The sequence below is a fragment of the Homo sapiens genome, chromosome 3 (genome assembly GCF_000001405.40).
Source record: "Homo sapiens chromosome 3, GRCh38.p14 Primary Assembly".
NCBI classification, from domain to species: domain Eukaryota; kingdom Metazoa; phylum Chordata; class Mammalia; order Primates; family Hominidae; genus Homo; species Homo sapiens.
In genome coordinates this window covers 189151206-189168125 of record NC_000003.12, presented here as the reverse complement: position 1 = coordinate 189168125, position 16920 = coordinate 189151206, and the positions used below count along the sequence as shown (strand labels likewise).

Here is a 16920-nt window from a genome sequence, read left to right as displayed (position 1 = left end):
TTTTGTTTTCTCCATTCATTTATCATTGATCTCATTTCCTTCCCTGCATCTCACTCTTATTTCCAAGTTCCAATTTTATCCGCAATGAAAGAGAACAATTTCATTGTCGCACAGGTTCACTGAGGGCTAAAAAGGGCACTGGCATGGAAGTTAGAAAGCCTAAGATTTAGTTCCCATTCTGCCACTAACAAGCAATGTGACCTTCAGAGGATCGTCTCTTCTATCTTGGCCTCTCTTTCTCCTTTGCAAAATAAGGTCTGCTCTTGACAGCCACAGAATCTCGAAGTAAGTGCAATACTTCGAGACTCTCTGGATACCAATCTGCTAATGTTGCACCATTTTTCACACTCATTACAGATGGGGAAGAATTCTTGTATGTTTTTAGCTTTGGTTTGAGACCCAGTGAGGGTCCTCCACTCCAGATCCTCACCTGACTTTCTGATCCACCCCAACCAAGAATGGCTTCATGGGCATGCAACTCGTGCAGTTACACAGGCCTGCAGGTAGAAGGGCCTTGTGCTTGGTTTTGTTCTGCTGTTGTCATGTTGAAATTCTTAATAGTTCTTGAACAAGGAGGCTGGATTTTCACTTTGCACTTGGCCTCACAAACCAGTCCTGCCCCTACTCTTACACTTGCACTCCCCCAAAGCAACAGAGAACTAAGAAAGAACCAGGAAAAGGAAAACAAGGGTGTACTTTGCCAGCCATTCATGGCAGGGAGAAGGGCTCCCCATAAGGCAGAGCTTCACTTTGAAATGCCCTTCCTTACAAATATAAATCAAAGAAAAGACAAGGCGGGAGAATGTGAAACTTGCCACAGTCTCCACCCCATCACCCTTCCCCATCTTGCTGGATGGGAGGTCTGACTCATACCTGGGGTGTGGCTCACCATTCCTGCTAAGCACCTGGGCTCCTCCCTGTTCACAGGGCTCAGGAGGAAGTGTGGGTTACGCTGGAGTGGATGTGGAAACCATCCAGTCACCTCTCAATGTCAAGAGCTAGATGGAATCTCACAGCCGACTCAGGCAACCACCACAGCCCACCTTCATCAGAGAAAAAAACACCGCTTCTATTAGAGAATGGGCTGAGGCCAGTTCACACTGTGAGCAGCTCCCACCTCTTCTTGGCATTAATTTTGGATTATCTCCCCGTTTCTGCATCTTTGGGGTCCACAGGGGAAGAAGTTACTCCTCTGTCACACAAATAAGAGTCCCACCCCCAGTTCAGTCACCGGCAGACTCGGATACCCAATATATGGTCGAATTAAATTGAAAATGACCCTGATCTTTAAAAACCTCAGTAAGATGAAACTATTACCATTGGATTATTTTTTTCTTCCTACCTAAAGTTCTTCTCCTAACAGCTTGAGGCATTTTACATGTCTCATCAGGGAAGAAATTAAAGAAGGAAGAAGAACCTTGACAAAATTTAAACACACAAACGAAGAGCTAGTGATAAATTACAATGCAAATAAGATAGGCTTTTGAAACGCTGAGACACCAAGGAAAGTATCAGGGATACTAGTTAGGATAAAAGGTATTATGCATTTCTCTGTAGGCATGGAGAGTTACTTCCCTAGTTGACTAACTCCCTGGGTGTGCTCGGTCAAGTATACCCTTATGCAAGTTTCCCTCGGTATCCTTTGGCTTCCTTGTCAGCAAATTAAAGCAGTTTGGACGTGCTCAAAGTGAGGTCTCTTCTAGGTTGTCATTCTATGCTACTAAGTATCAAACTGTTATCACCTCCATGTCAGTGTCCCCACTTAAGGATTGATTTTTAAAGTAAGATTACACTCTAGAACCTAAGTTGGCATGGCAACGTAATGAAAACAACAAAACAGTTCAATTCAAAAACTTGAGTTTGGACCATAGGAGTTGAACCAGAGAGGAAGATCCTATGGCACTCATCTATCAACACAGTCCCTTGAATTCCCATTTGAAGACACTGAATGCTCTGTTCTCTTGGAATGTCTGAAGTTTAAAGGGAAATGGTGGCCTCTAAGGCCAAGGCCATGTTATTGAGGGTCTGGAATGCTTAGCCAAGAAGTTTATGTTTAATTTTCATCTTTATTATGTTGTTGGGGACTCTACTCAGTGATTCTGTCTTGACATTTGATGATTTCTTTTGAACTGCGACTGCTCTCTGGGTTTCCAGAGAGCCCAAATCACCTGGGGAGAGGGAGGGAATCTTCCTTTTGTCTGTCTTAGTCCCTGACCAGTTACAGCCCTGCCTCTGTTCCTGTAGCCTAAGAGATTTTCCATATTGGCAACACTCAATGGCCACCTGAATCACACGGTGAGCAGTTTCCACCTCTTGGCAGTAATTTTGGATTCTTTCCCCCTTTCTGCATCTTTGGGGTCCACAGGGGAAAAACTTACTCCACTGTCACACAAATAATAGTCCCACCCCCAGTGCAGTGAGCAGCCTGAATCAAAGACAGGCCCAGAGTCCAGGGCTTATGACTCCAGTATCAGCCTGGATCTTCATGCCAGGGCAGCCTTTAGTGTCCAGAAAGAGCCTCTCACCCCGAAGACAGCATTTGATGCGCAGGTCCCTGGACACCTGCCTGAGAACCTCATATTAAAAATGCACATGCCCAGGCCCCTTGATTTACTGGATTAGAATCTCTGGGGGTAGGCCTAGAAATCTCCATGTCAACAAGCCTTGCCAGATGGCTGTTATGCACATAAAAGTTTGAGAACCAGAGTGTTACAGTTTCTCCATCTATCGTGACAGTCATTTAGAAAACTCCAACCCAGAATAGACTGTACAAAAGCTCAGGGGCAAGAACCTGTAGGGTGAATCAGTCTTGCTGTAAGGAAACAGCAGTAAAACCTGTGTGTCTGGAACACTGGGCGGCAGGCAAAGTTGAGGGTGTGGTAAGGTTAGAAGGCAAGTAATCTGTACATGAATGACCCACGATTCTTTCATTTTTACATTGCTCCTCACTGTATGATATAAACGTTCCTAGGTAAACTCAAAGTTTCATTACCCTCCATCCCAAATCCTCATAGCTGGATATCTGTACTCTTGCTGACTTACTACACATGAAAGAGGTTCTTGCTTAACAACAGTAATAAGGGTAAAAATGCACAGAGATGGGGGCTGGAGCTAGCTACATTGTACAAAGGCCCAGAAAAGAGAAATCGTGGAGGTTTTTGTGAAGGAAAGGAGTTCAGCAAAGCCCATCCCCATTTCCAGGGATACTCTGCCACATGAAGGCTGAGGACAAGCTCCAGCTCCTCAGAGTTTTCTTAAAGCACGTTTGGGACCCCAGGGGGACATGGGAGCTGTGGAGGGAACCTGCCACACAACATGCCATATCCGTTTTCAGAGGATGTCAACACCCTCCTTCCCACACCTGCTGTTCCCAAATATCACAACCTGATTTTTTTCTCCAACCTCCTGTCTTGATGATGATGATTAAATATTCATGGAATGCTGTGATGCCAGCATACTTTGTGAAATTTCAGATACCTTTTTTTTTTAAAAAAAAGGGAAGCTTTTATTTTTTTTTTTAGCTTATTTCAATTTTCAAAAGAGGTAAAAAGAATAACAAATGCAATGACTAGAAAAGTAGATAATGAACAAAGAAGCTAGTATCCTAGGTTTTCACAACTGTGTTTCGAGCCAAAAATTGTCCCAATTTAAGAAAAAAAGTAGGGGCCAGGCTTGGTGGCTCACGCCTGTAATCCCAGTACTTTGGGAGGCCGAGGCGGGTGGATCACCTAAGATCAGGAGTTCAAGACTACCCAGGCCAACATGGTGAAACCCCGTCTCTACAAAAATACAAAAATTAGCCAGGCATGATGGTGGGCACCTGTAGTCCCAGCTGCTCAGGAGGCTAAGGCAGGAGAATCGCTTGAACCTGTAAGGTGGATGTTGCAGTGAGTGGAGATCGCACCACTGCACTCCAGCCTGGGTGACAGAGTGAGACTCTGTCTCAAAAAAAAAGAAAAAGAAAAAGAGTAAAACTCAGAATTTAGAAAACAAAGACATGAAGAAACAATTGTTCACATTATAAAAGAATCTTCTCTTTTACCATGAGTTCCATTTAAGTAGCAAAGTTCCCAACTTCATGTAAAATACAAGTAAAATGCATGTAGGTATATATGTCTTATTTATTTGTTTATTATGCAAAAAGTTTACCTTATTTGAAAAAAAAATGCATATTTTTTGAGAACCAAAGACTATTAGCTAAAGGTATCATCTTATCCAATTGTTTTCAGAATGATTCTCGGCGGGGTTTCCAGCGTGCCTCAGGGACTGCCCTGCTAGACAAGCAGAGCCAAGAGGGTAGAGCCAAAGGGTGCCCACTCCAGCCCAACCCCGGCAACTCCACTGCTATTCGGGAATATATTGGAGGTACCTGTAAAGTTGTGGAGAAGCCCTAATGGCACACATAGAAGCCTAATTCCTTAATTTTACATTCCGGGAAACTAAGGCACAGAGAGCTGTAAAGTCATATCTTTAATTTTAACTTCAGTCCCGTATTTCCTTTTCAAGGAAACTTGTTGCCCCGTAAAAGTCGTCATTTCATTAAAGAAACAGGTTTATCTCCTATGAATGTTAGGGTTTTAAGCCTAAAACCGGTAAATCATCACAATAACCAAAACAATTGGCTATAACAAGCTTGACATTTTTAAATGTCTTCAGATTAGCTGGCCCGTGTCAGAGTTGATCACGGTTCTGTATTGAATCATAACACAGATAACTTGAGCTAACACATATCAAAATTTTATTTAAAATACCAACTAAAGCAAGGTGTTATCAAGATGAATCAATGTCTCAGAGAGAAATAGTCAGAGAAAAAAGTAAGAACCCCATGTTTTTTTGTTTTGCTTCGTTTTTTGAGACGGAGTTTCTCTCTTGTCGCCCAGGCTGCAGTGCAATGGTGCCATCTTGGCTCGCTGCACCCTCCACCTCCTGGGTTCAAGTGATTCTCCTGCCTCAGCCTCCCAAGTAGCTGGGATTACAGGCACCTGGCACCGTGCCCAGCTAATTTTTTGTATTTTTAGTAGAGACCAGGTTTCACCATGTTGGCCAGGCTTGTCTCGAACTCCTGACCTCAGGTGACCCACCCGCCTGGGCCTCCTAAAGTACTGGGATTACAGGTGTGAGCCACCACACCCAGCCTAAGAACTCTATGTTAAATCAACTTGTGTTTTAAATTTATTTCTAATTATTTAACAAATACTTATATAGTGCTTATCATGTGCCAGAAACTGCGGTAAACACCTTACAAATATTAATCAGTTAGTTTCTACAATAACTCTCTAATGAAGGTATTATATGTTATTGAAATTTTATAGGTGGGAAAATTGGGCACAGAGAGAGATCTGGTTCTCTCTCCAAATTTCCCCACGTGTATCTTATGTATAGAGCAACCTGGATTAATCTGTTTTTCAGTGATCTCCTAGGGTTTTCTACCTCTGTCTTTAGCTTTACTGTCCTTTTGATTTGGAACATGAAATGCTGTCTTTCTCTCTCTTCCATAGCAGCCATCAAAGACCCAAATGTTATTATCTGGCTGTTGCTAGAGCCAGATGTAAACCCCACCACTTCCAAATTCTGATACCAACTCATTGTATCTTCATTGTCATATTACTTACCCTCCTGTTCAAAAAAGCTTTCAATGTTTCCTTATTGCAAATCAAACTGAGTACAAAATTATTATCCTGTCATTAAAGACTCGTAACAACAGTGCTTCACCCTTATTCCCCATCGTTTCTTTGTGCATATCATATTCTTCAGCCAAACTAAACTGTCAGCATTTCCCAAATATGTCTCACAAGCTGCTATCCCCCTGCTTTTCTTAGAATGGTCCTTCTTCGGCTGGGTGCGATGGCTCATGCCTGTAATCCCAGCACTTTGGGAGGCTGAAGTGGGTGGAGCACGAGGTCAGGAGTTCAAGACCAGCCTGCCAAGATGGTGAAACCCTCTCTCTACTAAAAACTACAAAAAAATTAGCCAGGCATGGTGGCAGGTGACTGTAATCCCAGCTACTCGAGAGGCTGAGGCAGGAGAATCACCTGAACCCGGGCAGCAGAGGTTGCAATGAGCCAAGATCACACGACTGCACTCCAGCCTGGGTGATAGAGTGAAACTCCATTTCAAAAAAAGAAAAAAAAGAATGGTCCCGCTTCCTAGAGTCCTTCCCCATCACCCCACATAGAGAAAGTTTTCACAGCCTCAAAGATTCTGGTCTAAAGTTACCTCCTCCATGAAGCTCTCTCCATTTCTCTTCACACCTCCACTATTCAGAAGCTATCTGCCTTCACCTTGACCCTCCATATCCTTTTACCTTTTTCACAGCACGTGCAGTATCTGCCTTACAATATAATTATTTCTAGACTATTGTCATTCCCTGATTAATCTGAGAGCTCTTTGACAGCAAGAGCTGTCACATTAGTCACTGAAACTACCATTATTGCTGGCATATAATAGATATTTAATAAACATTTCATAGAATGATATAAAATGAAGTGGATAAAGAGTGAAAAAATGGATAAAGGTGTGGGCACAATCATTTTCTTTAGACCCTACTGCCAGGCTTTTGGGCCTGAGGGATGGTATATTTTGTATAGTTTTTGCACCCAGAAAAGATATTTGCTGAGAAAGATAAGGCAATGTGGACAAGAATAATAATAATAAAAAAAAAGAACCTACTACTTATTAAGCTAGGAGGCAATAAGCAATCTAATATGCATGTAATGTATTTGAATCTTTTGGTTTTTACAATGCTTCTCCATTTATGGCAGAAGAAACTGAGGAGAAACAAGTGAATAACTTGCCCCAAGGCCGCAAAGATAGTCCAGTTCTGAAGCTCCTTTCCATGATGTACTGCTTCTATAGCAAAAGAAAAATGAGAGAGGCCTTGCCTGTTCCCTCCAGCCCTAACCCCCATGATAATTCCATACTCGATTACCTCTACAGTTGTATGTCGTAAAAGACAATAAACAATATATGCTAACACTTCCTAAATGCCTGTCACATACCAGTGAATTAACAGGTACTTTGAACACATTACCCTAGATTGTCCTGATCATCCCAGGAGGCAGCCATCACCAATCTTATCACAAGGAAGGAATACAATGAAGTTCTGTGTCCAGGCCATGCCACAGGGCAAAGCCAAAAATCCAATCCAGGCCATTATGAGGCACCTTTTCAATTTTGCCTCATTGCCTCTTCTCCACAGATTCCAGCCATAAGTAGCATACTAAGAGATTCTCAACAGCAACAACAACGACAAACAAACAAACACACAAAAAACATAAAGAAGGAATTCATTACTACCTTGAATATGAAGAACACGATAAGTATTTTCCGTGTGATGATCTAAATTTTCATCCCCCAGAGAAGAGTATCCTTGGAAACAGGTCTGGCAGGTAAACAGGGTGGGGCAAGGTCAGCATTCCAACACTTCCCTCTGAGCTTTTGCCTTTCCCTGGAGTTCTTTTATTTTGATTCCTGTAGCCGCCACCAAGCCTAGTCCCCGTCTCCCTGGGTTGGGGAGTTGGGTTGGGGAGGATGAGAGAGAAACGCTATCCCTCTTTTCTTCTCAGCTCAAGGTAAACATAATCTTTCTCCTTGTTTTCCTTTGCACAACTGAGACAGGCTGATACATTCAAAATGAAATTTACTAAATGCTGAGAAAAACCTAAATGGAAGTAAAGAAAATTACAACAGCACAAAATAGATGGCTGATCCCAACACTTCCAATTAAAGTGGAGGAGGGATTTACTGAGCACCAAATTTTATCACATCTTTCCCCAGCCAAAAAATTATCTTCAATCATCTAAATCACTTGCACAGGGTTCTTCCCTCCTCACTGCCATGTGAGATCATCTTCCCACTGTGAAGAAGAAATCACCCCATCAAATCTCTAGTCAACCTGCCAATTGACTGGGATCTTTTCATTCACTCCACGTTTCTCCTTCAGAAGAGTCAACTCATGACCCATTCTCCCAGAGGTGCTGACATACTTAAGCTTCCGGGAGGGCTGCAGCCCATCTCAGCTCAGGCTAACAGCTCTGCCTACTTTCTCTTTAGCATTCGGTTGACCCCCCGACCACCCACACACCATCCACCATACAAGGCCTTCCTTTGGAATTTGAATTTTAGGATTTATTATGAGATTAATCATAGAGTGACAATCTCTGAGAAAGCCAACCCCTCACACACATACTTCTTTGAAATGCTCGTGAAAACTGATGACAGTGGATCTTTGCAGCTCGTGAACCCCTACCCCCACCACCACACACACACACACACACACACACACATACACAAACACTCCATGAAAGCATTATCTACCTCAAAAACCTTTACCCCAGGACTGTGCGTATGAATCTGCAGTGCCTGAAATTGGAAACAGGTGCCCAATTTCTCATTGCCCATTCCACACTGCACTCCTAATACTAAGAACAACATGCCAGAGAATTAAACCACACCAGCCACTGAAATCAGATCATTCCAGTTTGGGACTCCTGGCTGACTTCAGATTGCTAGTAATAACAAGAACACAAAAATAACATCATCAGCACGAGCAAATATTGCTGCGTTAGATAGTGCTGTACTCTATAGTTTATGTGGGAGTTGTACGAGATCATAAGGACAGGGGATAGGACTCTGTCCTTCCCTCTTCCCAACCTGCTCCTCCAGAATCATCTCTCACTTTCGCCTCAATTCTCCGTCTCTATTATCTTGACATACCATGCTAGTTTATGCATCTTTGCCGTTGCCTATCTTATTCCCTCTACCTGAAATGCCACCTCCACTTGGTAGGATATGCCACACACCTGAGACCCCTTCCTTGTGAAACCTGTCATAATTCCCAGAGTTGGGTCTGCTCTTGCATTTCTCTTCATTTTAAAACCTGAAAAAAATAACTGTCTTTTTTTATGTGTATGGCTCAAACGAATTATCATGTTAAACTTTTTACAAGTTTATTATGATTTAGCATTGAAACCAAAAGTTGTGAAAACAAAATGGCACAAACCCAGGGCAGCAGGGTGCACATGTGGTGTGAGAGGAGCACATCTTCATGATCATAGGAACAACTGCCTGCTACTCCAAAGAAAATCCCGGAGACAGCAAATGTCACTTTTTTAACAGCTTTCAGAATAATTCCTCTTAAGAGGAAAATTGCCTTTGTCTGGGGCAAAAAGACCAAAAAAAACAAAAACAAAAAAAAACAAAAAAAAAACTTGATGAGCTCTTTGGATAGAAAAGATACTTTTGAGGACAGCTTCAGACAAGTGGGCAAAACAACTGTGGTGAAATTAGAGCAATTTTGTTTTAGACTTCGGATGAGGGAGTGCAAAACGAAAACGGCAGAGCTAGGAAGTGAAGGAAGGAGACAGAACCCAAGATGGAGACAAACTGAACGAGATGGGCTGGGGATGGTGAAACTCCACAGTCATGGAAAGGCTGAAGGATATTTCAAGAGCAGTGGTGTCTGCTCTTCCCATTGCAATTTATTTATTTATTTACTTATTATTTTTTTTTATTTTTTGAGATGGAGTATTACTTTGTCGCCCAGGCTGGAGTGCAGTGGCGCAATCTTAGCTCACTGCAGCCTCAGCCTCCCGGGTTCCAGCAATTCTCCTGCCTCAGCCTCCTGGGTAGCTGGGATTACAGCCGCAAGCCACCACGCCTGGCGAATTTTTGTATTTTTAGTAGAGACGGGGTTTCACCATATTGGCCAGGCTAGACTTGAACTCCTGACCTCAGGTGATCCGCCTGCCTTGGCCTCCCAAAGTGCTGGTATTACAGGTGTGAGCCACCGCGCCCAGCCCCACTGCAAGTTTTTAAAATGCTTTAGATCCCTCAACCGCTCAGTTCCCCCAGCTGCATAAAGAGAATAATAGTGAAACCTAGTCCACAGGACTGTGTGGTGCACTAAGTAAGTGAAACAGGGTAAGAGCAGTTCGAAAGCCAGGAAATAATGATGATTTCTATTTCCTGTCTTAAGTGGTTTAAGGGACCCTCCAATGGTAAATGACTATGATGTTGACATTCAATATCTTTTTGACTATAAAAGATTTGGCCAGAATCTTTGTTTGATAAACGTGCTCCCCGTGAGAAGCAAAAGAATGATGCGACATATATAAAGTCCCACAGTAAATAACATCCTAAAAGGATGCACTTGCTAAATGCACTTGCTTATTTATTTAAGTCTTCGTTAGTCTCTACAACATACATTGTATAATACTCAGCACCAGTCATTCAGTCTTGTGCTATCAGACAGGCCAGATTTGCTACAGCCGGAAGGAGAAGGAATGGAGGGAGTCATAATAACTCCTGTCACATGGGTCCTACAGGTCCCAACTCATCAGCGTGGCTTAGGAAGGAGGACAGGGAGGGCATTCATACCACAAATTTGTCATCCTCCTGGGAGGCAACAGCATGGTGTTCTGCTTGTGTTTTATTTTCATGGAAACTTCCTTCGGGAGGGTCAAGGATGCTTGCTACGCTCCCTTAACAGATGAATCGCTTCCTTCTTTGCTTTTGCTGTTCTTCCTTGTCTTTCGCCAAAAGCATCATTAGGCAAACCAGAACAGAAGGTGGCCGGAACCTGGCCTGTGTGGCTGCCTCACAGAGCTCCAAGTCAGAAGGAGAGTGCCCCTCACTGAGTTCCTGGCACTTGATGTTCATTCTGGAAAGGAAGCATGACCATCTGCCTTGGACTCTGTCGAATGGAGCCTGTCCTCACTGCTCAGTCCCGTGGACATGTGAGTCATTGGCCACTCGGAATAGAAGTAAGGCCTCTTAACTGCATCCTGAGCAATGACAGGTCTGGGGTCAGAATAAAGACCAATAGGACAGCAGGGAAAAGAAGGCAGGAGAAGTAGGTCAGTGCCTGCTCCTCAGGACCTGAGACAGAACAATGCTGAGATCTGGATGGCTTAATGCTCGATCAAGCTTCTCTCTAAGATGCATAACAAATAGCAAGGCGAAGCAGCCCCATGAAGCCTCTTTGAAAACATTGGCTGTAGCACTCTCAATTTACAAATGGGGAAGCTGAGGCTCAAAAAGAGAGAGTGACAGCAGGTGAATAGCAAAGCCAGTCAAAACCAGGCGCTCCAACTCCCTGGCATAGCTTCTTTGACTACAATAGTATGACTTTTGTCACTGGCTGAGGATAACCAAAGCAGCACTATGGTCGTTGGGGACTATTTCAGTGATTATCAATTTAAGGAATCCATTCCTCAACCTGAGGACCCCAGTGACAGACCATTAACAAGCCTCCAGATAATGCAGCTTACATCAAAGCAACTTTTATTTCCTAGACATTTTCTCAGCTGTACCTTAAAATAAGAAATATATGTCTAATTTCATTGAGCTCTGTGCTGCCTGCTACCATCAAAGAACAACGAGGAAATACTGATAGATAGAGGCTGCAAAGAGGGTGTAAAATTAGGGGAAGGATGATGACAGTGGACATACTCATCTGACCAGCTAAGCTGGTGCATCTCCCATGAATTTTGTCCTGGTTTATCCTCTTAGCATAGCCCGAGCAGAAAGGGTATCGCCAGGGGCTTGGACTTAAATTCACCCCAAACAAGTTTTCCCCAGTAAAAGGCACTCCATCCTTCCAGTTGCTCTTCACAAACTTGTAACGTTATCCCTGACCCTCTCTGCGTCTCATCCATGGGTAAACATCACTGACTCTAACTCCAAAACCCACGTGTTTGTTTCCTTTCGCTGCTGTAACAAATCACTGCAAACACAGGGGCTTAACACAACATAATTTTTTTTTTTTTTTACTTATAGTTCTGGAGGTCAGGCATCTGTAGGGCTGTGTTCCTTCTGGAGGATCTAAGAGAAAAACCTTTTCTTTGATTTTTTCGGCTTCTAGAAGCTGACTACATTCTTTGGCTCCTGGCCCCTTCTTCACTCGTCAAAGCCAGAAGCAAGCATAGCACCTTTTCTGTCTCTGTTTCTTCCATCTTCACATCACCTTCTCTCTTCTTCCTTTTCCAGCTTTGTTGAGTTACAATTGATAAATAAATATTGTATATATTTAAGGTGTACAATGTGATGTTTTCATATAGTTATGCATTGTGAAATGATTACCACAATGAAGCTCATTAACATACCATCACTTCTCATAGTTACTTTTCATTTTGTGGTAAGACTATTTACCATCTACTCTCTCAGCAAATTTCAAGTTTACAATACAGTATTATTAACTATAGTCACCATGCTGTACATGAGATCTCCAAACTTATTCATCCTGCATAACTAAAACTTTGTACTCTGACCAACATCTCCCCATTTCCCTCACCCTCCAACCCCTGCTAACCAAATTCTACACTCTGCTTCTATGAGTTCAATATCTTCAGATTTTACACATAAGTGAGATCAGGCAGTATTTGTCTTTCTGTGCTTGGCTTATTCCACTTAGCATAATGTCCTCTGTGTTCATCTATGTTGTCACAAATGACAGGATTTTACTCTTTTTTAAAGCTCAATAACATTCTATTTTCTTTATCCATTTATCTATCGATGAATGCTTTCACTGTATCCATATCCTTGACCCTTGACACTTCCATACCTGACTTCTATGAATAATCACCTTCTCTCTTTCTAACTCTGCTTGTTTTTTCTTATAAGGACCCTTATGTTTATATAGGGACCACATGGATAACCCAGAATAATCTCCCCATCCCAAGATCTCTAACCACATCTGCAAAGTCTCTGCCTTATAGGAATTAGGACACAGACATGTTAGAGGGCCACTGTGCAGCCTACAACATAGCAAAAATATTATTTTTCAGTACCTCCACAGCTGCCACCCTAATCCCAGACTCTATTATCACTTACTTAATTTATTGCAGAAACTTCCTAACCAGTTTTTCTGCTTCTGTCCATCCTTCTACCCTTAGAAATGTAATTCCAATAATGTCAATCCCTTCCTCAAAACATTTTATGGGCTCCAAGGCCCCCATGATCCAGGCCCAGCCACCTCCTGGCTTTTTCCTCCTGCGGCTCCCCCTTGCTCCCTCTTCCCCAACCATATTAGCCTCCACGTGGGTCCCTTAGCTTGCCAGTTGCATGCAGGCCTCAGGGCATCTTGCACCTGCTGTTCGCTCTGCCTAGGACATTTCCACAGACAGTCACATAGCTCATTCCCTTACTTCCTTCAGGTCTTTGCTCAAATGTCACTGTTTTAGCAGGGACTACTTTGACTGCCCTATTTAAAATGGAAACATCTCCATAATATAGCCACCACACCCCAACCCACTCACCTTTCCTGATTTATTTTTTCTTTCTAATATTTGTCACCGTCTGATGTACTATGTGTTTTATTTACCTATTATTTTTTGTCTCAACCCCCTCTCCCCCAACACACACCACATAGAAATGTACACTGCAGGCTGGGCACAGTGGCTCCTGCCTGTAATCCCAGCACTTTGGGAGGCTGAGGCGGGTGGATCACCTGAGGTCAGGAGTTTGAGAGCAGCCTGGCCAACATAGTGAAACCCCATCTCTACTAAAAATACAAAAAATTAGCCAGGCGTGGTGGTGGGAGCCTGTAATCCCAGCTGCTTGGGAGGCTGAGGCAGGAGAATTGCTTGAATCTGGGAGGTGGAGGTTGCAGTGAGCCGAGATCGCACCATTGCACTCCAGCCTGGGTGACAGTGCAAGACTCCATGTCAAAAAAAAAAAAAATGTACACTGCATGAGGCCATGGATTTTTGCCTATTTTGTTCAGTGTTGAATCCCTAGGACCTAGAATAAGGCTCAGCCCATAGCAGACACTCGACAAATAATTGGCAAATGAATGAACTTAATCTCTCTGAATCAATGAATAAAATTACTTCTCTGAGCCTCAGTTTTTATAATCGTAAAATAAGGGTAATAATCTTCACTTTGCCAGCTTTCAGGAGACACTCTGGCTGTCTCTCAGGTTTTGCTCTTCAGCATCAAACTCCTTTTCCAATTGCTGAAGAATATCGCATGATGTGAGTTATTGGTGAGATGCAATGCCTTCCTTCCATCCAAGAAAAAAGCAGCTGCCTCATCCTCTCTCCATTTAAAGCATGCTAATGATAAATGTGTGCTCTACATTTGGCCAATTGGGTGTTTCTACCCAAAGGGCTGGCTTTGGAGAGATGATGGGAACTCACTTAGAATGGCTGCAATGATGTCCAGTGGCATCCAGTCAAAATGCTGTCCTGGCCAGCAATTATTGCTTAAAAACCCTCACTGTACTGACAGGCTTCTGAGACTTGGTCCTCTTAGTCCTCTAAGATTGCCTTGTCTTCTGCCATAGTCCAGATATGGTCCTCTTGTCTCTCAGATCAGTCAGCCCTCTATTCCTTCCAATCAGTTCTGCTTTTTGCCTATACGAGCCAGAGTTTCTGGCCTGCAACAAGCTCTCTGAGGTAGACTCAAGGAAGCCTGCAGCAGATGCTGCTGATGCTCCACCCAGATCCCATTTGCCAGCTGGATACCCATCTCCCGGCTATGGCAGGTGCTGCAGCTAACAGTTTACACACTTGATCTAGGAAGAATTACCTGGGGCTGATGGGAGCTGGCTCACCCCGAGACACTTGGGGAGTGACACCACCCCTCACCCCAAACATCCAATGACTGAGTGATGCAGGGGCCACAAATCCAAGATACCTTGCCTCAGATTGGAACAATTCTCCAGTGCAAATTTTACATAATTCTTCTGAATCAGAATAAGACTGCATTTTACCTATGATTACATTCTTGCTTAGCTCTTCTCTGTTCTGTTTTCTTCATTCTTTGGTGATGTTTTTTAAGAGTGTAAACTCAATAAACCACATGCACCCAAATTCCTTCTCAGGTTCTACTTCTAGGGAAGGTGAATTAAGACAGGTTATGACTAATAGCCAGGTTACTCAAAATAAAATCTTTATTTAAAAAAGTACTAGCCAGTATCTGCACACTGAAACAGTGCTCAATACATAGGGATGACGACATTTGTAAAAGCCTGGCGATGGCAAACTCACTCTCTGGCATAATTTCCAACTCCACTTACGTTGTACACTGTCAGAGGAATATTACATTTAAGTCAAAAGTTTTTCCCATTTATTTCAGGTCTCTTTGTCTGATATCTTTCCTCTAAAGTGATCTAAGACACACGTGAAACTACTTTCATAAGGTAGCTGTGCAAATAACGGCGGGTAGCAGTCCTACTTTTTAATAATAATGGCGGGTAGCAATCCTACTTTTTAATAATAATGGCGGGTAGCAATCCTACTTTTTAATAATAATGGCAGGTAGCAATCCTACTTTTTAATAATAATGGCAGGTAGCAATCCTACTTTTTAATAATAATGGCAGGTAGCAATCCTACTTTTTAATAATAATGGAGGGTAGCAATCCTACTTTTTAATAATAATGGAGGGTAGCAATCCTACTTTTTAATAATAATGTTGGGTAGCAATCCTACTTTTTAATAATAATGGCGGGTACCAATCCTACTTTTTAATAATAATGGCGGGTAGGAATCCTACTTTTTAATAGTAATGGCGGGTAGCAATCCTACTTTTTAATAATAATGGCTGGTAGCAATCCTACTTTTTAATAATAATGGTGGGTACCAATCCTACTTTTTCTTATGTTTCCTCTCTACCAAATGAAACATTCCTACTGCAGCAGACATGCCTGTCCCACCATCACACATCCCTTTATAAAGGAAACCGTCCACATGTACCCTTCACTTGGAGCTGGGGGTTCCCTCTAATTTGGAGATGACCATGTCTGTATAGTAGAATCTGCCTCTGGCCAAAGCTGATTGGACTAGGAAGTGCCCATGGCCCAAGAGTTGCCAAAATATAGGATAATCAGCAACGATGGTGTGACTTGAAGGAAAACTCCTCAAGGGACTATGGTAATTAAACAGCCTCAGACCATTTCTCTCCAGATATTGTAAAATGAAGTAAATGGTTCACCTTGGTAACATAAAAAAAAAACAGATCTTAAGGGAAGCAGAAACTGACAAAATAGTTGAGTCACATGGAAGGTGAAGCACGAGAATAAGAGCCTTGTGCTCTAGCTCCTGCAGTCCCTAGAGCACACCAAGCCATGCACATCTGCTCAATCCAGACCATACTCCTATTCCAGGTTCTGTAAGGCCTGATGGTTAAGGTTTGCCTGGCTTCCAGTAAAGACAGAGAGGACTATTTCACAAGTGTGTCCTTAAAGTAAATCCTCCATTACTTGACATATAATGGAGGATCAAGTAATCAATTTTTTTTTTGTAAGATGGAGTCATGCTCTCTCGCCCAGGATGGAGTGCAATGGCGTGATCTTGGCTCACTGCAACCTCTGCCTCCCAGGTTCAAGCGATTCTCCTGTCTCAGCCTCCCAAATAGCTGGGACTACAGGGGCATGCCACCACACCTGGCTAATTTTTGTATTTTTAGTAGAGACAGGGTTTCACCATATTGGTCAGGCTCATCTCAAACTCCTGACCTTAGGTGATCCACCTGCCTCAGCCTCGCAAAGTTCTGGGATTACAGGCATGAGCCACCACGCCTGGCCAGGTTTCTCTTTCTGCAAAGGGCTTTGGTGTAAGGTATTACTTTGTGCTTAATTACTGAGGCTGTTAAACTCTTTAGGTTTCTCTTTCTTACAACCAAAGGAGTTTAATGGCCTCAGTAATTAAGCACAAAGTAATACCTTACAACGAAGTCCTTTGCTATAGCATGGTTTTAGCTATATTTAGGGTCAAATTTGTGTCTCCAAAATACGTCTCTGATATACTTAGATTATGAAGTAAGAAGACTGTTGCTGGGATATCAGCTCTATCTCCCAACCCACATCAGCTTTTTCTATATTGGTGAGTTTCTAATAATACAGTATCTTATATCTGGAAAACTCACTTGCTTTTCTGAATAACTGAGCTTATTGAAGGACGACTGGTGTTAAGGGACC

General features: G+C 42.7%; 1 protein-coding gene across 16 annotated transcripts in view, besides 1 other annotated feature; it reads right to left on the bottom strand.

Annotated features, from left to right (window-relative positions):
• Positions 1-16920, bottom strand: part of TPRG1 (tumor protein p63 regulated 1) — a 328078-nt gene that overhangs the window by 157179 nt on the left and 153979 nt on the right. Inside the window, exon 1 of one of the 16 annotated variants that reach the window (XM_011512732.3) lies at positions 7297-16604. The exons of the other annotated variants lie outside the window; for them this stretch is intronic. The gene's annotated coding sequence lies outside the window, so the exon portion shown is untranslated. Of the gene's footprint in view, positions 1-7296; positions 16605-16920 lie in introns of those variants that run through there. 16 annotated transcript variants of the gene reach the window in all.
• Positions 449-1648: an enhancer, noted in NCBI's record as "MED14-independent group 3 enhancer chr3:188884267-188885466 (GRCh37/hg19 assembly coordinates)". NCBI's record gives its function as "activates an origin of replication core promoter dependent on BRD2, BRD4, P300/CBP and CDK7 cofactors, and independent of MED14, by STARR-seq in HCT116 cells {active_cell/tissue: HCT116}" and the evidence as "EXISTENCE:reporter gene assay evidence [ECO:0000049][PMID:35650434]".